Raw genomic sequence first — 26,019 nt, forward strand, 5'->3', positions numbered from 1 at the left:
TGCAACCTCCGCCTCCAGGTTCAAGCGATTCTCCTGCCTCAGCCTCTTGAGTAGCTGGGATTACAAGCATGCACCACCACACCTGGCTAATTTTTGTATTTTCAGTAGAGACGGGGTTTCGCCATGTTGACCAGGCTGGTCTTGAACTCCTGACCTCAGGTGATCCACCTGCCTCCTCGGCCTCCCAAAGTGCTAGGATTACAGGTGTGAGCCACCGCACCTGGCCGGCAATAACTTCTTTAGGCACAGTACTTGATAAGTCAATATATAAATCACAGTCAGTTTAATAAATAGCCCACAGATGCTGAACAGTGATATAACCAAGGAGGAATCTAGATACCAACCTGCATCTATCAGCAATTATCTCAGGGACATTTTTCACTAGGGATTTAAAAGGACACTCTCACCAGATAAAAGAAAGAATACTGGCAAGGGTTCTTTCAAGTTTAACCCCAAGATCAAGTTCTAGAGTATTTCACCTAAATAGCTACCGTATTAGCAATGAGACTCTTAATAATGCAAACATCTTTTGAAAATGCAGAAAGTGGGTTACTACACTAATTCACCAAAACACCAGAAATATCTGGGTCAATGATATGGGTATAGAAAGCTTACCTTTTATCTCTTTCATGTTCATGCCTTTGAGAGCTTTACCTGCTTCTAGGAGGTTTTTGAACTGAACAAAACCAAAACCGCGCATCTTCCCATCTGTGTGCAAATGCACAAAGAAAGAAGTGAGAGGCAGCAGGAGGTAGCCAGAATACTAAGAAGTAAATTACTGCAATTCAGGCCCACAAGATGGCCCAAATTCTGCCAGCAGGTCAGGCCCTTCCCCAAAGCAATTGCTTACATCTTCTTACTGAGTATACTCTGACTTGGACTTGGGGAGAGCAAAACACTTTCTCAAACTAACTCGCCTTCTAAAACTAATTCTGATCCAACAGAAAATATCATCAGGGGAATAAAACCATTATTTGGGTTTTCATTAGATGTGAAGCACTGTGCCAAATACTTCATATATATCATATATGTTTGTTCAAGGGTAATATGTTAACTAACGTAATCCACACCAAGTGAAGGTTTATTAGTACCTGGTTTCCTAGGGATATTTACTTCCAGGACAGCTCCAAATTGAGCAAATACTGTCTTCAAGTCATCTTCTGAACACTGAAGCCAAAAGTGAAGAAAGAAAAAGAGAAACACAATCACAGCAAATTAACATAAAACATCAACTACTAAATTCATTAATTATGAAAAACATGAATGTTTACTTTTTTTTATTTTTGATACTAGGACATCAAATGTTTCTAAATAGAAGACATTTTACTTTGTACCTAAGAGGCAAAAACACAGACGTCTGAGAACTTTTTCTACCTTTTCTTTCTCAGTAGTAGTTTCCCCAAAAAGGAAAGCAGCTTCACACTTAGTGCCCTTATTACACAGGCCCACTTTCTGAATTCAACAGGGGTAAGGTTGATTCCCAGAAGGAATTAAGCCCAATTATACCATCTTGGTGAGGAGTTCTACTAATGATCACATCTTGGCTCTAAAAGCCTTCAAAACATGCAATGTTCATTTTCTCTCTCACTTACCTTAAAGCTCAGGTTCCGAATAATTAATCTGGCTTTCTTATCTGCCACTTTGGCTTTTTTAGCCTTCGGCTCCTTCTTTGGGCACTCTGAGTTTTCTAAAAAATAAGAGGTAATGGAATAAGTACTCGAAAATCACCCACTTCTACGCCAGAACATCACAGAAAAAAAAGCTACTGGCGACAGATGGCATTTACCACAGGGTTAAGTGTGGCAATAATACCAAGGAATACCAGATTTTTCCAAAGAACTAAAATGAGTATCACAATACACTGGATGATTTTGGAGATCAAAAAGAAATGCAAAAAGCTTTAAGTTCTAGAAGCTACCTCCATGCCTCCCTCTTTCATTTTCATAGTGCTCCTCCTCACCCTGGGAGAAAAACTTCCTTCAATTACTAGAAACTCACCATTTTTCCCCTTTTCCTTTGTCTTGTTCCTCAGTTTTTTCTTGGCAACAGTCACGTTGATCTTGCAACCTTCAAAGGTGGTAATCTCCTTGAGGGCCCTCTGAACATCTTCCAGCATTGAAAAAGTGACATAGCCAAAGCCTCGACATGCCTTACTCCCTGGAATAATGGAGTGGGGAGGGAGTGGAGGGGCAGTGTGAAAAGGAGAGAGAATCATAAGCCAAGAGCACTAAATGAGTAAATCCTCAAAGCCTAAGCTAGAGGATATACTGCCAACCCATCTTGCTATCAGTTTGCCAAAAGTCTCAGGAGGGCGAGAAACAAGGGTGGTATCAGTGGTTCCCTCCCCACTTTGCTTAGAAACTGTTAGCCTTCCTCCTCTTTTAATTTAGTGTCTTTGCTGTTAGCTCCCCTTCTTCCCCCTTTCTTGATAATCCCAAGAAAACAGAGAATCCATGACATATGAGGCCCTCAAAGAACTCAACATCAAAAAGAACAAAACATCACCAAAGAAGGCAGGAAAGGTAAGTATATGCTATGGTTTGAATGTGTCCCCCAAATTTCATGTGTTGGAAACTTAATCCCCAATGTAGCAGTATTGAAAGGTGGAGTCTTTAAGAGGTGACTGGATCAGAGGACTCTGTCTTCAGGAATGGATTAATCAATTTATGGATTAATGGGTTAATAGATTAATGGGCTATCATGAGAGTGGAGCTGGGGGCTTTATAAGAAGAGGAAGAGAGACCTGAGCAAGCACATTAGCATGCTCAGCCCCCTCGCCATGACACCCTGCACTGTCTGGGCATTTTGCAGAGTCCCCACCAACAAGAAGGCTCTCACCAGATACAGCCACTAAACTTTGGACTTCTCAGCCTCCAGAACTTAAGAAATAAATTTTTCTTTACAAAGTACCTAGTTTCAGGTATTCTCTTATAAGCAACAGAAAATGAATTAAGACAGTATGGTAGCTTCAAAAATCAGAACACAATAATGCAGTTACTCCTCAAAATAGATCAGCAATAAATGCCTGAGGCCCAGACAAAAGAACCTCAAACAATAAATACTGCTCAGAGAGACTGCAGATGTTATGACCACTATTACCAACGCCTTAGCTGTCGATATCAAATTAAACCTTTCCAAAGCAGCTGTGCATTCTTGTCTCATTTTATCTTTAGAACACCTCAAAATAGGTAAAGCAAATATTATCACCCCTTCTTTCCAAGTAAGTAATTTGAGATGGAAGACAGTAAGTGAATTGGTTAATGTCACACAGGGTGTTAGTAGCTGAATTAACTCCTCCTCACCAGCCCCCATGTTCTTCCATAGGACTCCACAAAGAATAATATTAGGACCAAGGAGATGAAAACTACAAATATCAACTGTAACCCACCTTTGCCCTTTTTGGTTTAACATTTTGTATAGTAAAATTTTAAATAATTTATTGCATCAAAAAGGAAAAGGACAGATCAAGAAGTCTGCCTTTACCTGAAAAGGACACATAGTTCATATGCTCTGCTTCTCTTTCCACTGCATTTGAATCTCCTTCAGGGTATAAGCCCTTTGACACAGGACACTGATCTACATAAACTGGTTAAAGCAACATAACATCAATTTTTCTCTTCTCTTGAACTCCTTATCATAAAAGCTGCCCACTCACCTTTCAGAAAATGAGCACAAGAAAATTCATAGCCCTTCATGATCAGTACAACCAAAAGTAAAGCAGCTGAAATGTAAAAGAGTTTGACACCCAAATGAAAGGACATACAGTAAATACCACACATTTTACATGTCTGCATAAAGCATGCTCACATACATTTAGAGTCCCTGACAACCCTGTGAAATTATTCCCATCTTAAAGAGGTGAAGTGACATGCACTGCTATTGAGGAAGACTTCATTCCACATACCCTCCCTCCCGTTTCACTGAGTGCAGCACTCTTTCCAGTACATATCAGCTGTCTGGATAGGAAAGTGCATAGTTTTTTAAAAGGAAGTAAGAGATTTTTAAGGATTTAGACCAAGTACACAAGGTGTAAGGTAAGATTGCATGTAGCCTATATTCTGAGGACTCAAAGGAGAACTCCCATTCAATGGCCTATTCTTCCCTGGAATACAACCACCTGGGTACGGAATGCTACTTACACTGGAACCCAGTACATACATATATTCTTTATTTAAAACTTAAAAGTTTTACAAATACTTATCCTTTACCATATATGGACGTACTCCTATACTATTTAATTTTTTAAGAACTCTAGGCCAGGCGTGGTGGCACATGCCTGTAATCCCAGTGCTTTGGGAGGCCAAGGCAGGAGGATCATTTGAAACCAGCCTGGACAACGTAGTGAGACCCTGTCTCTACAAAAAATATTCAAAAATTGGCCAGGCATGGTGAAGCACGTCTGTAGTCATAGCTACTTGGGAGGCTGAAGTAGGAGGATTGCTTGAGCCCAGGAGTTTAAGGTTACATTGAGCTGTGATCGCACCACTGCACTCCAACTGTCAACAGGGTTGACAGAGCAAGACCCTGTTTCTAAAACACAACAAAACAAACTCTAGTCATGACCCACTCAAGACCCACTAATAGGTAATAATCTGCAGTTTAATAAACATTACTGTACAGGACTTTCGGTCCCTATTTTAAGTACATAAGCTTTTGTCCTATTCTCCAACAGTCTATTGGCAACACACCAGCCAGAGAGAGAATCTTTCAAAACGAATGCCAGATCACACTTACTGCTCTCTGCTTAAAATCAGTGGCTTCCTATCTCTGAGTAAAAGCCAAAGTCCTTGCAATGGTCTATAACATCCTACATGAGGCGGGCGGATCACCTGAGGTCTCGAGTTCCAGACAACCCTGGCCAACATAGCGAAACCCCGTCTCTACTAAAAATACAAAAATTAGCCAGGTGTAGTGACACTCGCCTGTAATCCCAGCTACTTGGGAGGCTGAGGCAGGAGAATGGGTTGAACCAGGAGGCAGAGGTTGCAGTGAGCGGAGATCGTGGCACTGCACTCCCGCCTGGGCGACAGAGCAAGACGCAGTCTTTAAAAAAAAAAAAAAATCTTACATGATCTGCTACTCTAGATCTCATCTCCTAATTCTCTTCCCTTTACTCACTTCAATCCAGTCACCCTGTCCTCCTTACTACTCCTCCAATATACCAAAAACACCTCTGTTTCAGTACCTTTGAGCTTGCTGTTTTCTCTTCCTGAATTGTTCTTCCTCCGGAGAGGCATGTGTTCACTCTCTCACCTCAGTCCGTCCTTCTCTGGCCACCCTATCTATATTGCCACTCTTCACCCCCTCTCCCCACTATACACATGCACATAGACTTCCTAACCCCTTTCCCTGGCTTATTTTTCTCCTTAGCATTTGACATCATTTTCACGGTTGGCTTGTTTATTGGCTCGTTTATTGGCTCTCTTCCCCACCTTGAAGACATAAAATCAAAGATTTTTTTGGTTTGGTGTTGTGCACTGCTGCATCCCCAGGACCTACAACACTTCCTGGCACACAGTAGGTATTAAGTATTTGCTGAATAAATGAATGAACAAGTGGATAGCATCCTGGCTAAGATGTCCAGGTCTGAGGATCAAATCGGGGGTCCACTACTTAACAGCCGTACAAACTTAAAGTTACTAAATTCCCCTAAATCCCGGATTCCTGTCTGTAAAATGACATTAAGACTCTCCATCCGGTAAGATTGCTGAGAAAATTAAATGAGATAACCTGTATCAAACTGATCACTGTACCTGCCAATCAGGTGACTCTCAATAAGTCTTACTGATGCTCTAGTTAACTATTTTCATTTTTAGCGCGCATAATCAACAGAAAGCGCTATAGAAACGTAAGGGAATGCTTTGCCCTTCATAAACTGACTCCTATGAACGCATCTAAAGCAGAATCAGTTTGGAAAAGAAACTCAGTTCCCTGTCCCTTCTCTTCGGGGAGGGTAAAGAATGATACGGCTCCCTGAAGTTTGGGAAGGTGCCCTCGATCGCAGGAAACCCCAGCCCTATCCTCGACCGCCCCGCCCCTACCTTTTTCAGTCACCACGAAGCACTGCTTCACCGGCCCCACCTGACTGAACAGTTCCTCCAGCTGCTCACTGCGGGCCGAGGGCGGGAGGCGGCCCACAAATAAGGTCAGGCCGGCCATGAGACCGGGAAACCCAAAGCGCGTGAGGACGCGAGCAAACTAGGCCGGCGCACGCGAGCCGAAACGCTGGCTTTGGTAGGACAACCAAGCTCACACGCCGAGAGATTCCGGAAGTGCTCGTTGCCCAAAAGAGACCGGAGGAAAACATGGTCGGGAGGGGGATAAAAGGTTCCGGAATGAAAAAATAATGGCGCCCCGGGGCGTAGCTTCTGGAGCGGGGCTCCGCCCCCTGCCCTAGCATCGCCCTCGCCACTTTTGTGTAAACTTGGCATCAATAATTTCTACCCTAGTGTTACAGCTTTTTTAGAATTTGCCTAGCAGGCTTTCTGGTTTTTGCCGGAAGGCCTCCAAAAAGTAATTTTTTTTCTTAATATACAAAATAAAAATAAATAATTTCTACCCTGTTTAAAAATCTCACCTCCAGATCCTCCCCAAAGTTAGCAGGACAGGCAGAAGAAGTCGTTTTTGCCCCGGGCGTAACTCAGGATCTGATATACTGTGGGTGTTTGATATTTTCTGAAGTGCCTCCACAAATTCCCAGATTACGTGCATAAAACACAACCGGAACACTAACACGTAGACATAGATATATCATATACATCATTCGGACGATTCTCATTTTCGGAGAACACCAGCTGTCTGTCACCTCAGCCTCACAAACAAATTGTAGCTACTAAAATACACATAGACACAGATAGTACACAATTATTATTTCAATAAATATATACTGAGCTCTAACTATGAGCCAAGCATTAGGGATAAAACTGGTGAGCAAAGAAATGACAGGGTCCCTGCCCTCATAGAGATTACAGTCTAATGGTGGAAACAGATTTTTTTTTTTGACAGGGCCTCACTTTATCAACCAGGCCGGAGTGCACTGGCACGATCTCGGCTTACTGCAGCCTCGACCTCCCAGGTTCAAGCAGTCCTCCTGCCTCAGCCTCCTGAGTAGCTGGAACTACAGGTGCACCACCACACCCGGCTAATTTTTGTATTTTTTGCAGAGACAGGGTTTCACCATGTTGCCCAGGCTGGTCTCAAACTCCTGAGCTCAATTAGCCCCCCTTAGCCTCCTAAAGTGCTAGGATTATAGGTGTGAACCACCACACCTGGCTGGGAAGACTATTAGTCCAAAAATTCTTACAAATAAATCACAGCACACACACTGCAGGACCACATCAAACACACTCAAAGCAAACATAACATCCAACTTATACACAGAGACCTAGAACCCATGTCCTCCTAGAAACAGAAGATCTTTGTCTCAAGTCAGCTCATCAGACAGACCCAAAGCTGAGAGCTCTTAATTGGCTAGGAAATCTGGGTGCTCCTGGTTCTGGAACACAGAGAGTGTTTGCCATGCCACTGGGCTCAGGACCTGAATAGGTGCAAGAGAGCTACACCTTGCAGAACAACTAGCTCAAAAAAAAGTACCCAAGGCCATTTTTTAAATAATTTTTTTTTTAGCAGACTCTTGCTCTGTCACCCAACTTGGGGTGCAGTGGCACCATCATGGCTCACTGCAGCCTTGATCTCCTGGGCTCAAGCAATACTGCCACCTCAGCCTCCTGAGAAGCTAGGACCACAAGTGTGTACCACCATGCCTGGCCAATTTATTTATTTTTTTGTACAGACAGTTCTCCCTGTGTTGCCCAGGCTAGTCTTGAACTCCTGGGATAAACCAATCCTCCCACTACGGCCTCCCAAAGTGTTGGGATTATAGGCGTGAGCCACTGAGCCCAGCCAAATCATTACTTTTAAATGATAGTAACATGGCAGATAGAAAACTCAAAAACTTTACAGTTTTAGTACCTTTTATAAGGCACTATGGTGAAAATTAAGTTTCATGATCTCCTCAAGCCCCATTCACTTTCAATACATTTTGGATGGCTAGACGACTGGTTGATAGTGATGGGAGTGGAGATTAGGGGGACGCTAAACATCACATTTATGGAGCTCTAGTTCGAAGTAAGTAATCTATGCTTAAAATAAAACTTCACGATTATTTTTTAAAAATACAACTCACGGCCAGGAGCGGCCGTGATCCCAGCACTTTGGGAGGCCGAGGTGGGTGGATCACCAGATCAAGGGTTCGAGACCAGCCTGGCCAACATGGTGAAACCCCGTCTCTACTAAAAATACAAAAAGTAGCCGGGCATGGTGGCACATGCCTGTAATCCCAGCTACTCGGGAGGCTGAGGCAGGAGAATCGCTTGAACTCAGGAGGCAGAGGTTGCAGTGAGCCGAGATTGCACCACTGCACTCCAGCCTGGGCAACAAAGGAAGACTCCATCTCAAAAAAATATATAACTCACTTTGGGAGATCAAGATGGGTAGATCACTGGAACTCAGGAGTTCGAGACTTCTGAAAATAAAATACAAGTTTATTTTTCTTTTTTTCTGAGCAGAGTCTCGCTCTGTCACCCAGGCTGGAATGCAGTGGTGCGATCTCGGTTCACTGCAACCTACACCTCCTAGGTTCAAGCAATTCTCCTGCCTCAGCCTCCTGAGTAGATGAGATTACAGGCACCCACCACCATGCCTGGCTAATTTTTGTATTTTCAGTAAAGACAGAGTTTCACCAACTTGGCCAGGCTGGTCTTGAACTCCTGACCTCAAGTGATCAGCCGTCATCGGCCTCCCAAAGTGCTGGGATAACAGGCATGAGCCACCATACCCAGCCTAAACTTTATTTTTCAACATTAGCTCCATCAAGTTCAAAACACATTTGTAAGCAATGATACCAGCCACTTAGTCCATCTCTAAAGAACTTAAGGTCTTTGGAATTTAAGCATGTCAATGCAGTCTCTCTCTCTCTCTCTCTCTCTCTCTCTCTCTCTCTCTCTCTCTCTCTCTCTCTATATATATATATATATATATATATATATATATATATATATATATATATAATTGAAGAAAAATGTGAGCCCCTTAAAGATTTTTTAAGATTAGGAAACAAAACTAAGTCAGAAGGAGCCAAAATAGGACCTTAAGGTGGATGCCTAATGGTTTCCCATTAACACTCTTGAAAAATTGCCCTTGTTTGAGAGAGGAGTGAGCAAGAGCACTGTGATGGAGAAGGGCCCTCTCTGTTGAAGGTTTCCCCTAGGTATTTTTCTGCTAAAGGTTTGGCTAACTTTCTCAGAACCCTCTCACAATAAGCAGATGTTATCATTCTTTGGCCCTCCAGAAAGTCAGACAGAAAAAAAAAAAAATGCCTTGTAGGCCCGGTGTGGTGGCTCATGCCTGTAATCCCAGCACTTTGGGAGGCCAAGGCGGGCGGATCACCTGAGGTTGGGAGTTTGAGACCAGCCTCAGAAACATGATGAAACTCCATCTCTACCGAAAGTACAAAATATTAGCTGGGCTGTGGTGGCATGCACCTGTGGTCTCAGCTACTCTGAGGCTGAGGTGGGAGGATCGCTTGACCTGGGGAGGCGGAGGTTGCAGTGAGCTATCGTGCCACTGCACTGCACTCTGGGTGACAGAGTGAGACCCCATCTCAAAACAATAACAATAAAAATTTAAAAATAAATTTAAAAATATTACTCAGGAAAGGAAGCTTTGAAATACAAAACAGATTTTTAAGGTTGCTATGTTAATCCTATCCAGGATAAAGAGAAACAAACAGATAAAGGCAATGGGATGGATCATGTAACAAAGTTGGTTTGGGACTCCACATCCTCCTCTTCCTTCTCCTTCCCTCCTGCCCACTCCTATCACCTTAGGAATTAAAATTCCACCCCCAAAGATTAAATTGTGAGCTTCAGAACCCCAGCTAAGGGGAAGCCTTCCTAGTCCTGGCTGCAGTCTGTACAAGGAAAACAATCCTGAGAAGATTGTTCCAATATTCCTTTGTGAGACCCTCCACAAATGCTAAGTTTTAAATAGCTCTGATCCAAATCTTCCTTAATTTAGGACAAATCTAACTGTGTCTCTATGCCCATCAGGGGGCAGCAGCCACCCACAGTGCAGGGTTCTGTGCCCTTCTGGGAGGACAACAGTGCAGCTGACCCTTTCTACCCTCCCCACGGTTCAGACCTGGTTCCCCGATCTGTCTCTCAGCCCAATCCCCTCCAATCCATTTATATCAGGGCAGGCAATGGTTCTTTCCTCAGGAATATTTGCTCATCCATCTACCCAAGACACATGCAGCAATCTTTATTAAATAGCAGGTGCTGTGCTACCCTGCATCACACCAGCAATGTGGCTTCCAGGGGAAATAAACTGCTGGCCTCCTCCTCATCCATCACTGTGCAGGAGCCAGGAAAGGAAGTAAGAGAGGCCTGGGCTGTTCTCAGCCAGCCTCTTCCAGATCCCATCCCTCTAGCTCCACTCCCCCTGGCAAGCTAAACCTTCTTATAATACAGAATAGTTCTTGGCCTTAACACTTGTCACAACTATAATTAATTACTTGTGCTATTGTGATTATTTATGTCATTAGTTGTTTAACATCTGCCTTCCCCCAACAGGCTTTCAATTTCGTAAATTCATGGCTGGTGTCTACCTCGTTCACCTGTCTATTCCCAGCACCTAGTACGTCATAGGCATTCAGTAAATATTCTTTAAGAGATTGAATGAATGAATAAATGAATGAATGTGAGTTTGTCTTTCAGTCCCCACAATACCAAGACTTGGAACTGAAGGGTGTAGGCATTAGGATCTACCTGGATTCTTCCTGGGAAACCCACTCTGGGTAAGGGATGAGGCATGAGACAAAAGGAAAGGATCCTCTAAACAAAATCTTGGCCTCTTTATGAAGTAAAAGGGCTGAGGTTATCCTTGCTGAGGAAAATCAAAGAAGTGTTGGAGCTGGTGAACACCGAGCTGTATTCCCTCAACTCCCTCCTGCCTCCCCCCAACTCCATTTAGAGCTGCCATACAGAAAAGGAGTGTATGTGCAGAAGTGTGTGTGTGTGTGTGTGTGTGTGTGTGAGAGAGAGAGAGAGAGAGAGACCAATAGACAGGCCAACAGAGAGACTGGCTAGGGTATTCAGGGCTTGGACTGCTCTTTCGGGAAGTGTGTGCATGAACCCAAGGACCCTTGTTGGGGAGAGTGAGTGAGAGAGACAGGAGCTGGCAAGGACCAGTGTGAGGAAGAGATGGCATCGAGGAGCTGAGTGTGAGCAGAGGCAGATGAGAGGCAGATAGAAGAGTGAGTGGGAAAGAAAGGGAGCAGTTTCTCAGAGCAGCAACAATCCTTGCATGACACAAAGCAACTCTGATGCTGGGCCCACTGCAGCCACTATGACACCAGTGAGAAATGCCTGTAATTAGGAGGTTGGCAGTTCTCTGGGCCTCAGCCCAGAGTGAGGATGCAGCAAGAATTTCTGAGCCAGGTGATGGAGGAGACGCAATCAAAACCATTCTAGTCCCATCCCTCCACCGCACCGGCACCACCTCCCTCCCATTTCTCTTCCCCACTATGATTCTCTCTCTCCTCCAAACACAACTGATTCTCCTCCTCCATCTGAGGTCCCAGGCCCTGGACGCTCCTCTCAGCCAAGACAGATGTTCATCTGCAAGGAGAGTAGTGCTTGAATTCTTCCACTCCTGCATTGGACCTGGTCTGGCCAAGGGCTCTACCCTCTCCTGGCTTCCCTGCCTGCTTCCCTCTTGGCTCCCAAGCCTCCCTTCCAGTCCCCAGGAGCTGATGGGCAAAGTTGGAAGAAAAAAATCACGAGGTTCCTGTGCTTCCACTTTGAGCCTAGTGTGTATGCTCCTGCAGGTCTCCCTGTGATATGCAGGACAGCTGCCAAAACACTGTCAGATTTTTGTTTTCAAACCTAATCCACAACCCTGTTTTTGTGCTACTCGGAACCACCGCATTTTAGCCAAATGACAAACACACACCACAGAGCGCAGAGCCAAATGCTCCAGGCAAGGGAGGGATTACAGAGTGCCTGGTGGTTGGATGTGTTTGTGGGTCTCTCACTGTGAACTTTGCTACAGGAGCTGGCTGGGCTGGACAGGCTTTCTCCAGGGAGGATCTGCACCTATTAGAGATGAGAGTTCTTCAGGAGAAGGGGGAGGGGGTTGAAGAGCCCCTGTTGGTGGGTGAAAAGGTAGAAAGGTAGTTTCCTCTTTGTGGATCCCAAACTGTGGGAACATGGCAGGGAGGCTGCTGAGGATCCCAGCTCAAGGTGACCAGGACCTTTTACATGCGTCTCAATATTTCCATGAAGGACTTGACTCCTAACTAGTCCCCAGCCAATTGTCTACCAGGACCTGAAGCCAACTCCTAAGAATGCAGGCATTTCCACCAATGACAGTAGAGTTTCTGCCTCACCTCCCAGGGCGATGTCCCATCTCTGTGAAAAGCCACTTCCCAACGATTCAGAAGAGTCTTCAAGGGGCTGCTCCCAGTAACCCCACTCATCCCAGAAACAGGACAAGACTCGTTGGTCTTGTATGAAGGTCCCTGGGGTCTGGAATGGACCCACCCCACCCAAGAGCTGCTTCTCTTCCACTAGTGATGGAATCACTGGTGCTGTTGCTCAATTGAGTTTTCCCAAAAAAGTCAGACCTTGCTCCTCTGAAAATATTTTATTGATAAATTAAGAGCATTCCCCTCCCACCCAACTGCTATAAAGTCTCCTAGATGGGTCATGGACCCCTGTGGGTGTCACATGGAGGAAAGGGAGTCCCATTCACACAGGGGTGGGATTCCTAGGCATGGCAGAGGTGGGTAGGGGGGCCTGAGGCAGGTCCCAGGGTCCTCTGAGGACAGCCCCTCTCACTCAGCACCAGAGTGGGGAGTGGTGGTCAGGAGTGGAGCACCTTGGAGCTTTATTGCTGGTGAATGCCAAGGAAAATGGGACCCCTGCCAACCTAGATTTGCAGCTGAGGGCATCAGCACCCAGGGCTCCAGAGAAGGTGGCACTGATTCCCAATCGATAGAGCCTGGCTGCTGACCCACCCACCCAGGGACCCCTGGATGGGGAAGGAATCTGGAGAGGTATCTGAGCCAGGGAGGATTGGGGAAGGATTACAGTGTGCAGGTCTCGGGCAGGGCAGGCGCCAGAAAGGGGCATATCGCAGGGTAGCAAGGTGGCCACCTCTTCACAGGTCTATGGTGTCGCTGCCCACGCTCAGCTCGTCGATCTGTCGGCAGGCGTCCAGGAACTGCTCCTGCAGCAAGGCCTCCTCGGCCTGCAGCTCAGAAGCAGGCTCTGGGGAGTCGCGAGAGGGTGGGGACAGGGCCTGGTAGGATCCTGAGGCCGGGAGGCTGGGGCTGCTTCCTGAGGGCCGCGGGGGACTGAGGACGCAGACCAGAGGGCAGCGCGGGGGCCTGTCGGGGCTGGAACACAGCAGCATGGACGAGCTGTCCCGCGAGAGTCCGCAGAACGAGCCAGATGAGACGCTGCTGCCTGCGGGCCAAGCCCCAGGGGAGGGGAGCTCCGGGGGCGCAGCGGGGCCAGAGGCCTCCCCTGATCTCTCACTGGCCCTGCCCCCGGTCCCCAGCGAGGCGGTGCGGTAGAGTCCGAGCCCAGGCAGAGCGTCCTCGAAGGCAGGGCCCTGGAAGAGGCCAGGCGCAAGCAGGGCCTCGCTGCAGAGGGCCTCCTCGATGCTGCGTCGCAGGTTGATTGGGGAGGGCGGGCGGAAGTCCACGGTGTAATCGCTGCAGGGAGAGGAAGCCGGGGACGGGGCCGGGTTGGCCGCCGCGCCTTCGAAGCCCCGGCAACCTCCGCCCTGGAGTAGGAGGTCTGGGCCTGGCCCTGCCAGCGCGCACAGCTGCAGCAGCTCCGCGTCCCCGCGAGCGATGGCGCTCCCCAGGGGCTCCTTGTCTGGGGGCCCAGTGACCCAGCCTCCCGGCAGCAGCGGAGCCGCGTGGCCCGGGGACAAGCGGAAGAGCTTGGCCCAGCAGCGCGGCGGCACGCGAGGACTGCAGAGCGCCGGGTAGAGGCCCAGCAGCGCCAACGGGAGCGCGACGCCCACCTCGCCCAGGCGCAGGCCTAGCTGGAAGGCCCACCAGGGCCAGGGCCCTTCCAGGCCGGATTGGCCGCCGTAGCCCAGGGCGTGCAGCACCTCATAGCCCTGCAGGGCTCCGCTCAGCAGCCCGAAGGTGCCCGCCACCGGGGCCGTGCGCGCCGCGCGCCGCCAGGACTCCCGAGGGGCGAAGGGGCTGCGCCCCTGCGGCAGGGGTGTGGCGCCCTTGAAGCCCGACCCTCCCAGGGGCGCCCCGGCCCGCCGCCGCCGCCCGCCCCAGCAGGAGAGCGCCAGCAGCAGCCCGGAAAGGAAAGCGGCGAGAAAGGCGTGCAGCCCGCGCGAGGCGAGCCGCAGGGGCCGCAGCGGGCGATGCGCGGCGCTCCCGAGGGCGGCGGCGGCCGCCAGCCCCAGCCCCAGGAGCAGCAGCGCAGCCAGGCCGGTGGGGCACCGCGGCGGGCGCGGCCGGGCCAGCAGCAGGCAGGCCAGCCCCAGGCCGGCAGCCAAGCAGGGCAGCGGAAGGTCCTGCAGCAGCAGCCAGGCGAGCGCGGGCAGTCGATCCCTGTGCCCATAGGCGTCGTAGAAGAGCGGGAAGGCCCGCGTGGTCCCGGCCGACAGCAGCAGCAGGTCCAGCAGCGCCAGGCAGGGGGCGCCGGGCGGGCACCGCCAGGGCAAGAGGGCCAGAGCCAGCAGCGCCAGCAAGGCAACCAGGCCGAAGAGCGCGCCTACCCCGTACACGTGGGCCTCCCAGGCCAGCCCCCAGCGAGCCCTGGCCTCTGCCCAGTCGGCCTCCAGGGTCAGGAAAAAGAGGGGCCTCGGCGCCTCGGGAGGCTGCCCCTCGCGTTCAGGCAATTCTCCCACGCTGCAGGACCCTGGCCCACACTCTGGCTGCCCCGAAGGGTTCCCGAGGCTGGCGGGAGGAGAGAGGTCATCTGGGCCAGAGATGGGGACTGTGGGGTCTGTGGGCAAAGAACGTTTGGCTTGAGGCAATGATGCAGCCCTCCCCTTACCCACCCCACAAGCAGTAGCCTGAATGCCAGTCAGAGTCCCCTACCGTATCCAGGACACACTTGTCTTACATATGAGACTCACCCCACCTCTTGGCCTCTCACCTTTCCCTCCCCCGCGCCCCTATTCAATGTCTTCGCTGGAGTTTGAGCTGTCATCCTTCCCCTCTTCCTTCTCCTACTTCTCGCGCTCTGCCTCGGCCCCCCAGCTCCCTGCTTGGCTTGTTTGTGATTCTATTAAAGAGTTTTTCTTTGAAGTCACAGAACTTTACAACTGGAAGGAGCCTTAGACACCCCCTCCAGTTCAATCCCCCCACCAGAAAGGAAGCTTTATGAGAACGGGGATTTTTGTTTCTTTGCTCACATCTGAATCTCCATACTTAAATTAGTTTCTGTCACACAGTTGGAATTTAGCAGATATTCATTGACTAAATGAATCCCTGTACTGCCGGATGCAGATACTGAAGCTCTTCTGAGAGGCAAAGTGACCTGCCCAAGGTCACAAATGGGCAGAGCTGCACCTAGAACCCAGGTCTGAACATCAGTCTGAGCCCCTTTCTGTGATTCCAAAGCCTCGTTCTAACATTAGTGTGCTTATCTCTTGTTCTGCACCCCTGACTCCCAACCCCCAACTTAGTGCTAGGAGGAGCTTCCCTGCCCTTTTTCAACTACTCCCCCACCTTATCTCCATCTCAAGGAAAAGCCCACACATGTGCATACACACATACACGCACACACACACACACACGTACATCAGGGGAGAGGTAAGACAATGCTGTCTCAGCACTCTGAGGAAAACATCATTTCTCCTTATTCATTGGCCTTCCTGCCTGCTACACCCCAACCCTTAGCCTATCCATGGCAGTGACCCCTATCCTGCCTCATCCACAAAGCCATTGGTCTAACTGTCTTAATATAGATGGCTCCATGCTTCTCCCCACACTGTACGGAAGGTGACATTGAGATGGACTCCCCCAGGTCTCAAAAGGTGCCCTTAGGAACTCCCAGGGAGAAACTCTTGGGGACATCATAGTGGGATAAAATGCCATCTAAGTAAGTGAGCCCCTCAGTTGCTCTGGGGTTTGCTATCTTGGGTCCCTAGCCCCATCCTGTGCTCCAATACCTTCCCATATCCCTTGGAAAAAGGGAAGTCACCTAAGAGAGGGTGAGGAGTAAGATCCTTAATTCTACTCTTCTGGAGCAAGAGAAGAGTTGGGTAGAGTTAGACTCAAGGATTCTCCCCAGGGCCAGGCAGCAAGGGAAGATGCTGGAAGCTGAACCTCTATCTGCCCTCACCTACAGATTCAGCAGGACCGCAGCCACAGGCAAGGGTAGAAGAAGAAAGGGTGGCGAAGGATGTGGACAGCCTGGCAGGGATGGATAGGTGGACCAAAGACAGATATGGAATGTGAGAGGAGGGTGCCTGATAATCACCCAACTGCCTGGCCCTGCCCTGGCCATGCCCTAGCTGGACAACACAGGAAGACCCCAGGAGCACCCCCAGCCACAGGCAGGGTCAGCTCATGCAGGGGACACTCAAAACATAACAGTTCTAGGCCTGGCGCGGTGGCTCATGGCTGTAATCCCAGCACTTTGGGAGGCCGTGGCGAGCAGATCACCTGAGGTCAGGAGTTTGAGACCAGCCTGGCCAACACAGCAAAACCCCATCTCTACTAAAAATACAAAAATTAGCCAGGCGTGGTGGCACATGCCTGTAATCCCAGCTACTCTGGAGGCTGAGGCAGGAGAATCGCTTGAACCGGGGAGGCGGAGGTTGCAGTAAGCAGAGATCGCGCCTCTGCACTCCAGCCTGGGTGACAGAGCGAGACTCTGGCTCAAAAAAAACACACACACACACACACACACACACACACACAACAGTTCTTAAAAATAATAAATGCGTAAAAGATAAACAAAAAACATAAGAGTTCTGAGAACAAGGAAAAGGAAGGAGTGAGGGGGCTGGCAGGTGGCTCTGAGAGAAGGAAAGGGAAGATGGAATTGGACAACTGGGGAGGGCAGAAAGGAAGCAGCCAAAACATTAAATATACACAGCTCACTGCCAACTGCAAGTGGCAGCATGCGCCCTGGTTCCCATTCCATCACATCCTCAAATCTGAAATGAGTAAGAGTACCTACTGCATAGGACTGTTGTGAGAAAAATGAGACAACGTGTGTAAAACTCTGGAAAACCTGGTGCATAATGATCCTTCAGTCAAGATTGTGTCGTTATCATGATCATCAGCTAATGTTCATCACTGATCCATCATCTGTTTGTGTATGTGTCAGTGTGACTACCTCTGGTCTCAAACAGTTTCTTGATTCAATTAACTAAAGGCTGCGGTCTGTTTTCAAAGCCTTTCACAGTCCTAAACTTGCGTAGAAAGACAACGATTAGTCAAAGAGTGAACATCAACACATTGTCTCACTTTATGAACTCTGTTTAACTAATAACTTTGGGTTTTTTGTTTGTTTGTTTGTTTGCTTTTGAGACAGAGTCTCACTTCATTGCCCAGGCTGGAGTACAGTGGCATGATCTCAGCTCACTGCAACCTCCACCTCCCAGGTTCAAGTGATTCTCCTGCCTCAGCCTCCCAAGTAGCTGGGATTACAGGTGCGTGCCACCATGCCCGACTAATTTTTATATTTTTAGTAGAGATGGAATTTCACCATATTGGCCAGGCTGGTCTCGAACTCCTGACCTTGTGATCCACCTGCCTCGGCCTCCCAAACTGCTGGGATTACAGGCGTGAGCCACCGCGCCCGGCCAAATAATACTTTTCTGATGGCCTACCCACCCCTTAACACTAATAAAGACACCAGCCATCAATTAAACGAGAAACTACTTAGCTGGGAATGGAGAGCTTGCTGATCAGGTGGCATAGGTCTGGCAATGGCAGGATCAAATGCACACACCACCTCACCCCTCATTCTTTGGTCCCTTCAGATGCCCTTGCCCAACCCACTTCCTCTGCAAAGTGATTGGGTTTGCTCCATCTCTCTTTGGCCTCTGTGGCCTCTGCAGAGGGGCAGGAAGACATGACCTAGGAGCCCACGGTCTGCCCCAGCCTGTCACCCCCTTACCACACCCTCTTTATTCACTGTACAGGTAAGTGCAGCTGTCAGAGGTTAGCTCCAATTCACCCTCTTCCATCTTTACTTCTCACCCATGGGCCACAGGAAACCTTATCTCTCATCTCTATACCTAAGCTCCATGGCAACTACAGCAAATTTCAACATTCATAAGAATCCAGGCTGGGCTGGTGGCTCACGCCTGTAATCCCAGCACTTTGGGAGGCCGAGGTGGGCAGATCACAAGGTCAGGAGTTCCAGACCAGCCTGGCCAACATGGTGAAACCCGACTCTTACTAAAAATACAAAAATTAGCTGGGCATGGTGGCAGACACCTGTAGTCCCAGATACTCAGGAGGCTGAGGCAGGAGAATCGCTTGAACCCGGAGGATGCAGTGAGCTGAGATCACACCACTGCACTCCAGCCTGGGTGACAGAGCAAGACTCTATCTCAAAAAAATAAATAAATAAAAAATAAAATAAAATAAATCCAGAAAAGGAATAAAAACCAGATAATAGGCAAAGTACAGGGGTGGCTCAAGTGTCATAAAAGGAGTTCTGAATTAGAAACACTGATCCCATGCTCTGCATGCCCCACACTGGTCCAGGTGTGAATGGGGACAGGTGGAAAAAAAACCTGGCTTCTGCCTTTGTAGGGTCCTCTTGACCTCATCACCCATCTCCCCATTGGAGGCTTCTCCAGAAAGAGCCTTCAGTTTTCCCCAGAAGAGTCCAGAAGATAGTCATCTCTGTTCCTCCCTTCCCAGGATCTCTCTCCTGAGCAAGCCTCCTTTACTGGGAGGTCCCTTTCTGGCCCTGTGGGCCCTCTTGACCTCAGTGGCCAGGAGGAGAGGAGATATCAATGTGAATAACTGGTGAGGCAGGCGCTGGCTGGGGAGGGGTTGTGGGAGGGAACAGTTTGATTCATGGAAAAGTCAGGCCTGATTATCCACCAGCTGCCCAGATCAAAGGGCTAGGAATCATGTCTCCACTCTGGATGCTGGAAGCTACAGCCCATTCAGTGGCCTGGCCCCATCCCTCTCCCCACCCCCACCTCCAGGTTCATGGAGGGTGGTTACACTTTGTAGGGGTGACACTCAAAATGTCTAGCAACTGAGTTGGCACAGGTGCCAGCCAATCAGAACTGACACCAGCCAGAGTGGTCAGGGAGTGGAGGGGAACCCTCTGTGGACTAAGCGAGGTGGGCACTGATTCACTGGTATGAAAGCTGCACACTGATTAACTTGATAACTGTTCTGGTATGTATGGACTGAATACAGGCTCTGTCTGAGGTGAAGGGGACCTAAGGCAAGGAGGGCCTAGGAGTCAAAGGTTAGTTGCACTTAGGTTAGAAAGATTCTAGAGGCAACACAGAGAGACTCCCTTTGTATGGTAACTGCTTGATACAAATACACACACACACACACACACACACACACTCTCTCTCTCTCTCTCTCTCTCTCTCTCTCTGCTGGCAAGAGCAAGGCCCATTGGCGTTCTCTCCAGGAGGCCTATAGCTCTCCTGGGTTTATTTAGAGGTGCAGTATCAGGGGCTGGGTTCCTGCAGCTACCAGGGAGGAGGGGGAATGAGGTGGGGCCGCCAGCCTGCCCGGCTGCACTGCCTCTGATACTGTCCAGACTCATTAAACCTGCCTGGCCAGCGCTGTCACCAAGGCCGACAGACTGCCAGCCAGCATCCTTCCCCTGAGGCACAGAAACTGCCCCCTACCCCCAATCACATCCTGCCCCTGCTGCACGCTGGGCTGGACAGAGGCATAGCAGGCCCCTCACCCACCATCCAAGGGAGTGCAGTGACTGTGGCTGGAGTGAGCCAGAGAACCAGGTCATGGGTTAAGTCTGGAGCTGGAAGAAGCTGGGGAGACCAGTGGTTTCCACTGCTGAGCCTAGTGAGGGGTGACTGAGAAGTTTCACAGCCACAGTAAACCTTTTGCAGAGCAAAGCTGGGCCTGAAAGCCCCTCAGTCCCTCTCCATGACTCCCTGCCTCATCCACCAGAACCTCTCCTCCAGCTCCTGTGCCCTCTGCTGTGTGGTTTGTGTTGTCCCACCACTGCCTGGGGCCAAGGCTGAGGTTTCTGAGAGGTAGGGTCTGGAAGTGGATTTGGGATGCAGTGGGGGACAGAAGCAAGGTTAATAGCTACTATTTAATGAGCCTCTACTTTGTGCCCAGCATCATGCTAAGAGCTTTGCAATAACTAGCAAGTACTATTATTAAACCCTGGGTCTATGAGAAAATTTAGGTTCAGAGAGGTTAAATAACGTGCCTAAAGTCACTAGCTAGTGAGTAAATAAATTGTGATTCAAAGCCAGGTCTCAAGATTCCCGAGCCTGTGGTCTTTCCTCGTACCACCAGCTTGTCCGTGTGCATGTTCTGAAAGGCTTTCTTGAACGAAGGTGGCATCTGCCTGCTCAAGGTCTCCTCCTCAGTGTCTTCCCAATGAGAAACCCAGCTCTTCCCATATCTGACAGCATGTCATGTCAGATCAGATGGCAAAGGAAAGAGCCCCAAGGTTGGTGGGGAGTCAGGTCAGGCAGACTGGAGTGGAGGGTGGGGTTAGTGCCAGGGCTGTGGAAATCATGAAGAAGTTCCTGTGTCTGTTTGTCCCTGATACATCTGTCTACATCCTGCTCTGCCTCTCATTGCAAAACACTCAGGGGACCATTACTTAACTCTGTGTGGGACTTTCTCCAGCAATACTTTCTCTCAGACCATTCATATATATCTCCACGGTGATGATGAAGAGAATGATGATTATGATTATGATGACAATGAAATAAAAGGGTCCCAGAACACTGATGAGTGACTAGCATGTAGTAAGTGCTCAATAAATAATTGTCAAGTTCAAATGAATTGGATACTTACCTAATGATGTTGTTGCAATCGAGGCAAAACTTAGGGAAGCAGCTGGGTCCAGAGGACTTGGGCTGGAGAGCTTCCTCTCCAGGGAGTATGGGGGCAGGGACAGAGTGGTACCAAGGAACCCTGCAAAGGGAGCACATGGGGCTCAAGTGCCACCCCACCAACCAGCCTTGCCTCTGGGAGTTTGGAGAAAATTATGTCCTTCCCCAGAGTTTGTCCTAAGGAAGTCACTGTCCCAGGAATTGTAGCCACATGCTAAGCTCATGTACACCATGAGCTAAGCTACAAAGAGCAAACCAGATTCAGTATGGCAAAGAGAATACTCCTTCCGTGGAAGTAGTAGCCCATATCCTAGGGCCTGGAAGAAGCAATGCAAGAAAGTAAAAAAAGAAAGGTACTTGTTAGGCTCCTAGCACAGCGCTTGGCACGTAGAGTGTTCCACAATAGTTTATTGCAATGAAATAAACTCACCCAGAGAACCCGAAACTCCAGAGGCAGAGCTTGTGGATGTAGTTTCACCTGGGGGGCTCAGGCCGGAGAAGTTCCGGAGTGGGGACAGAGTAGTGCCAAAGAATCCTGCAAAAGAAGCCCAGGCTGAAGCTGCCTCCTACCTGCCAGGGGTGCCCAGCAGGGGCTTTCCTTGGGATGGGGTGGTTACTCACCAAAGGGTCCCAGGCGCCCAGCAATCTCTGCCAGGCTGGCCCGCAGGCTGGGCAGCAGGGGCAGCGTTCGATGCCCAAGCGTGGGGGCTGCACCTGCTCTCAGTGCCATGTCAAACTTCAGCTCCAGCTCGCTCTGGTGGGGCCTGGGAGCACTGGATGGAAGTGCTGTCACCATCAGAGCAGTGTCCCAGGTCACAGTGCTCCTCCTGGGCTGATAGGGGGCAGTGGGCCCATCGCTGGGCCCAGAGCGCCGGGATGTGGACTCCGGAAGCAGGGAGGAGGCCCGGGGCTTTGAGCCACCTTCGGTGGAGCCCCACTCAGTGAGAGAGTTCCCTGAGGAGCCCACCAGCAATTCCCAAAGGGGGTCAGTCCTCAGCCCACTGGCCACCTCTTCCCCTGGCTCCTGGCCTGGCCCAAGAGAGAGTGGCTGGGTCTCTGTGACTGGGCTCCCCCAGACAGCAGCAGGTCCCCGAAGATGGAATTTGAAGTTAAGTCCCAGGTTGAGAGACAGCATAGAGGCCTCACTTTGAGGTACGGGGGTCAAAGTGGTGGCAGGGGCACCTGGGATGGAGGGGGTGGGCTGGGGGCCCACAGTAGCAGCAAACAGGACGCAGCAGAACAGTCCCAGCCCTAGACAGCCATGCCTGGCCATGGCCCCACCTGGCTTCGGGTGGCCTTGGTGGGCAGGGACTCAGTTGTTCAGCAGCTTTTGAGGAGGAAGGTCCTGGAGAGAGGAGAGGCCCTGTGAGCCCTGGCTGTGGCCCCCCTCTTCCCTTTCCCAGGATCGGATGTCCCAGAGAGAGGCTTCTGATCTCAGAGAAGCAGGTAGTGTGGGCAGGATGCAAAGTGTCCTGTCCATGGCTCTGGCTCTTCTTGCCGGGCCCTTCCTGTACCTTCAGGCCCCAGCACAAATCCCTGCCTGGGGGTTCCTCCTTCCCCCTCTGCTCATGCAGAAGCTGGGGTCTGACTGCAACCAGGGGCCCTCATCCTTAACTAGTAGCAAAAGGGATGGACTTGGGCTTCCAGACATGGATTCCTCTCTTCCTTCCCTCTGCTGAGCCTCAAGTCTTTACGCAGGCTTACCGTTTGCCAAGCACCCTTCTGGGCATATAACTGTGAACAAGCAAGCCCTTCCGATGTCTTGACCTATTCCAACCCCCACCTCCCGCCCCAGCCAGAAGTGCTGGCGCCCTCACTCTCAGACCCCAGGGGGCACAGGGCCTCGGGAGGGGTAAAGCCAGAGCTGAGTGATCTGGCCCAGTCAGAAGGCCGCCCAGGCTCTGGCCAGAGAAGCAAGGTTCCCAATCTGGCAGAAGCACCCTCCCTCCCGCCCCTCCCGTTTCCTGGGGCTGGGCCTGTTCCCTTCCCTAGGACCCTTGAAGTATTCGGGGGAGGGGCAGCTTGGCGATCTCCGGCTTCCTGGAGGAGAACGCCAGGCAGGCAAGCTGGGCGAACTGCAGGCAGCTGCGGCGGACTCCTACCCCCTCCCCAGAACTCTCTCCTCTGTGCGCACACATCTGGTGGGGGAAGGGAGGGTGAGCCAGGGACACACATGCACCCGGCACCCTTACATCACACACATAGCCACATCTAGCGCCCGTGACACACTCACCCGTCACATACCCCCCTGCCCCTGCACGCGCGCGCGCACACACACACACACACTCCGTCCTGCCGAGCCACTCTCCTCCCTGCATGGGTTCAAACCCAAGCTCTGTGAGCCCCCGGCCTCCCCTGTCTCTCTCTCTCTCTCTCTCTCTCTCTCACACACACACACACACACACACACACACACACACACGGCATGTACTGTACAGAGATGCACACCCCCTACACACATTCACACACACAGACATGCCACACACCGCCATCCCCCCACACTCGTACACGCCCACCACCCCTCGCAGGCACACATGCACACACGCGCGCGCACACGCACACACACCCCCAGCCCGGACCGGCCGACCTGCTCCCCGGGGTCTCTCCCGCAGGCAGGTCTCCTCGCCGAGCCTCCGAAAAGGGGCGGTCGTGGCGGCCCTGGCGCCCAGCTGGGCAACGCTTCGTGGTATCTCACCGCTTCTCTCTGTTGTGCCCAGCGCCCCGACTGAAGATCCGGACCTCCAGCCCCCGGCGGCCCCTCGCCTAGTCCAGAGACCGCAGCCTCGCCGCCCCGCTGCCCCTGAGCCGCCCCCGGCCCAGCCCCGGCCCGCAGCGCTCTCACCAGGCGGGCGGCCAGGCCCCGCGCTCCGCACTCCGCACTCCGCGCTCCCTCCCAGCGGCGCCGCCTCCTGGCTCCGAGCCTCGCTCCCCGGCGAAGCCGCCCGCGCCGGGGCTCCGCGGCAGCCGGCTCTGACGGCCCTCCCGTCCGCCCGCCCTCGCTCCCGCGCCCTCTCTCCTCCTCCTCCTCCTCCTCCTCCCACCCAGCCCGCCACCCGCGGTCCCCCCACACCCGGGCGGGCAGGCAGGCGCTCACAGCAGCGCGGAGCCGCGGCCACCTCGGTGCCGGGCGCCTCCACGCGCGCTCATTCACCCAGCGCTGTCAATCAGCCGCGGCGGGCGCCTCGCTGTGAGCCTGGCGAGAGCAATCACACACTCCCAGGGCGGCCCAGCACACACATCCACACGCGCGCCAGGAAACACACTCGCAGGTCAGAGGGCGCGCGCACACACGCGCACACATGGCAGCCTGCCCCAGGATGGCACCCCGGGCAATAAGAGTCCCACCGTTTGCTAAGTAGAAGTACAATGGACAATTCTACTTCCTTTATCTCATGAGTCCTCACCGCAACCCTGTGTATGTCGCCACTTTGCAGACAATTAAATGAAGACACAGAAAATTACCGAATTTGCCCAAGATTGCACAGCTTGGTAGAAACTCGAACCGTCTCCCTGCCGGCCCTCTCCACCACCTGGTGGTTTTCAACAGTTGCACTGCTACACAGCAGTGCCTCCAACACTTCACCGGTGAACTGCCAAATGCCAATCCCTGTGTGACATGTCTTTTCGCTAAAACTGATCTCTCAAAAATACTGTTTCAGAAATGTCTGCCAGAAAGAATGGTGAGCTAAGCTGCTTGTGAGAAGTGGATTACAACTGGTTTCTAGTAAGAGGTGTGAGGAGAACAGTAAAATCAAAGGCTGGGTTCAGTGGTTCACGCCTGTAATTCTAACACTTTGGGAGGCTGAGGCAGGCTGATCGCTTGAGCCCCGGGGTTCAAGAACAGCCTGGGCAACATAGCAAAAGATAAAATAAAAACAAACAAACAGCAAGCAAGCAAGCAAGCAAGCAAGAAAAAAAGAAGAAAGAAAGAAATTATCTGGGCGTGATGGGGTATGGTGGCAGACACCTGTAGTCCCAGCTATTTGGGAGGCTGAGACTGGAGGATTGCTTGAGCCTGGGAGGTGGAGGTTGCCGTGAGCTGTGATCATACCGCTACACTCCAGCCTGGGCAACAGAGCAAGACCCTGTCTCAAAAGGAAAAACAAAGAAAAAAGAGCGTGCCCCTTCACAGAAAGTAAGAGAGCTCAGGCAAAAGCTGACACAGGTTGAAGATGACCAAGAAAACCGAGCAGTCACTATGTATACTTCATGGAACCTGTTAAGTTGTAGTAGTGACTAACTGAAGTACTACTGACTCATTCATGTGGTTTTGAGTCTCTAAATCCCTTCATGTTTTCTTCAAACAATGATAGTAATTTAAAAGTATCAGAACATGAAACACTTCTGTCTCCCTGCACCATTTAAAACTTTCCCTCAAAATCTAAACATCCAACTGTGTGCCAAGAATGATGGTGGATGCTTTATAAGAGTCTCCTTACTTATTCGTCACCACGAGCCACAGAGACAGAAAAATTATTGTCACCATGTTATAGCCTTTTATATGACCCTGAATTCCCTTTCCATCTATATCCCTTCTCTTCTTCTCTTGAAGGTTGTGGCAGTTGCAGGGTGTGGGGCGGCGGGGGGCGGGTGCTGGTGTTGCTTAAAGAGTTACCTAGGGCAGATTCTGTCTCAGTAATTGAGAGCTAGCTTAGCACTTTGTGGATATGGTCCATGCCTATTTGATAAGTGAATAATGATGAATGGTTCTGGGGTCCATATGGGCAATGGGTTGCTTTTCAGAAAGGCATCTTCCTTATCACAGAGCCCCGCCAATTCATGTAAAATCAAATCAGGCCACCAACTGAACTACTCTCAGGGCCATCAACGATAAAGTCTGGGATTTATTCCAGGTCCCTTAACAAAGCATTGCAAAGGACATCTCCAGATGCACCCCCAGGGGTTATCATAACCTGCCCCCACCCCCAAGTCCAT

The 26,019-nt window shown here is 50.6% G+C and overlaps 2 protein-coding genes and 1 pseudogene across 18 annotated transcripts in view, besides 5 other annotated features; 1 reads left to right on the forward strand and 2 right to left on the reverse strand.

Annotated features, from left to right (window-relative positions):
- The window catches only part of RBM28 (RNA binding motif protein 28), a 46,224-nt gene extending 39,950 nt beyond the window's left edge, over positions 1 to 6,274 (reverse strand). The window contains exons 1-5 of one of the 2 annotated variants that reach the window (NM_018077.3): positions 6,042 to 6,274; positions 1,999 to 2,157; positions 1,593 to 1,687; positions 1,092 to 1,167; positions 616 to 708 (exon numbers count right to left, since the gene is read on the reverse strand). In NM_018077.3, coding sequence (NP_060547.2) covers positions 616 to 708; positions 1,092 to 1,167; positions 1,593 to 1,687; positions 1,999 to 2,157; positions 6,042 to 6,159 — 541 coding nt within the window. In that variant the 5' untranslated portion in view covers positions 6,160 to 6,274. The remainder of the gene's footprint in view (positions 1 to 615; positions 709 to 1,091; positions 1,168 to 1,592; positions 1,688 to 1,998; positions 2,158 to 6,041) is intronic. The other variant, NM_001166135.2, reaches the window with a different exon arrangement.
- Positions 6,215 to 6,414: an enhancer, noted in NCBI's record as "active region_26596". NCBI's record gives its function as "activates an Ori minimal core promoter by ATAC-STARR-seq in GM12878 lymphoblastoid cells {active_cell/tissue: GM12878}" and the evidence as "EXISTENCE:reporter gene assay evidence [ECO:0000049][PMID:35858748]".
- RNU7-27P (RNA, U7 small nuclear 27 pseudogene) lies at positions 6,448 to 6,505 on the forward strand (annotated as a pseudogene).
- Positions 10,111 to 10,190: an enhancer, noted in NCBI's record as "active region_26597". NCBI's record gives its function as "activates an Ori minimal core promoter by ATAC-STARR-seq in GM12878 lymphoblastoid cells {active_cell/tissue: GM12878}" and the evidence as "EXISTENCE:reporter gene assay evidence [ECO:0000049][PMID:35858748]".
- Positions 12,691 to 24,349, reverse strand: PRRT4 (proline rich transmembrane protein 4). Of its 16 annotated transcripts, none has more exons than XM_047420374.1 (7): positions 24,179 to 24,349; positions 22,366 to 22,429; positions 21,706 to 21,857; positions 21,515 to 21,619; positions 21,047 to 21,166; positions 14,815 to 15,044; positions 12,691 to 13,780 (listed from the first exon to the last, which is right to left on the reverse strand). In XM_047420374.1, exons 3-7 carry the CDS (start codon positions 21,812 to 21,814, stop codon positions 13,598 to 13,600), a joined length of 747 nt encoding a protein of 248 aa, XP_047276330.1. In that variant the 5' UTR covers positions 21,815 to 21,857; positions 22,366 to 22,429; positions 24,179 to 24,349; the 3' UTR covers positions 12,691 to 13,597. The 16 variants fall into 16 exon arrangements, with proteins under 16 accessions (XP_047276330.1, NP_001392421.1, NP_001392422.1 ...); NM_001405492.1 differs by adding an exon at positions 23,672 to 23,788 and having other exon boundaries at positions 21,706 to 22,429; NM_001405493.1 differs by adding an exon at positions 23,672 to 23,788 and having other exon boundaries at positions 21,706 to 23,222.
- Positions 21,384 to 22,253: an enhancer, noted in NCBI's record as "H3K4me1 hESC enhancer chr7:127999072-127999941 (GRCh37/hg19 assembly coordinates)". NCBI's record gives its function as "activates a minimal SCP1, AML or CMV promoter by ChIP-STARR-seq in naive H9 embryonic stem cells {active_cell/tissue: H9 hESC(naive)}" and the evidence as "EXISTENCE:reporter gene assay evidence [ECO:0000049][PMID:30033119]".
- Positions 22,254 to 23,122: an enhancer, noted in NCBI's record as "H3K4me1 hESC enhancer chr7:127999942-128000810 (GRCh37/hg19 assembly coordinates)". NCBI's record gives its function as "activates a minimal SCP1, AML or CMV promoter by ChIP-STARR-seq in primed H9 embryonic stem cells {active_cell/tissue: H9 hESC(primed)}" and the evidence as "EXISTENCE:reporter gene assay evidence [ECO:0000049][PMID:30033119]".
- Positions 23,123 to 23,991: an enhancer, noted in NCBI's record as "H3K4me1 hESC enhancer chr7:128000811-128001679 (GRCh37/hg19 assembly coordinates)". NCBI's record gives its function as "activates a minimal SCP1, AML or CMV promoter by ChIP-STARR-seq in primed H9 embryonic stem cells {active_cell/tissue: H9 hESC(primed)}" and the evidence as "EXISTENCE:reporter gene assay evidence [ECO:0000049][PMID:30033119]".
- Positions 24,350 to 26,019: the final 1,670 nt, after the last annotated feature.

Source organism: Homo sapiens, chromosome 7, assembly GCF_000001405.40.
Source record: "Homo sapiens chromosome 7, GRCh38.p14 Primary Assembly".
Taxonomy (NCBI): Eukaryota; Metazoa; Chordata; class Mammalia; order Primates; family Hominidae; genus Homo; species Homo sapiens.

What these genes read in the sequence shown, in the direction of transcription:
- PRRT4 (NM_001395429.1), bottom strand. Translation starts at nt 22,357, where the DNA reads ATGGCCAGGCATGGCTGTCTAGGGCTGGGACTGTTCTGCTGCGTCCTG. An exon ending in TGGGCGCCTGGGACCCTTTG is followed by an intron (nt 21,620 to 21,705) that starts GTGAGTAACCAC and finishes CTTCTTTTGCAG; the next exon opens with GATTCTTTGGCACTACTCTG. An exon ending in TGGAGTTTCGGGTTCTCTGG is followed by an intron (nt 21,167 to 21,514) that starts GTGAGTTTATTT and finishes CTCCCTTTGCAG; the next exon opens with GGTTCCTTGGTACCACTCTG.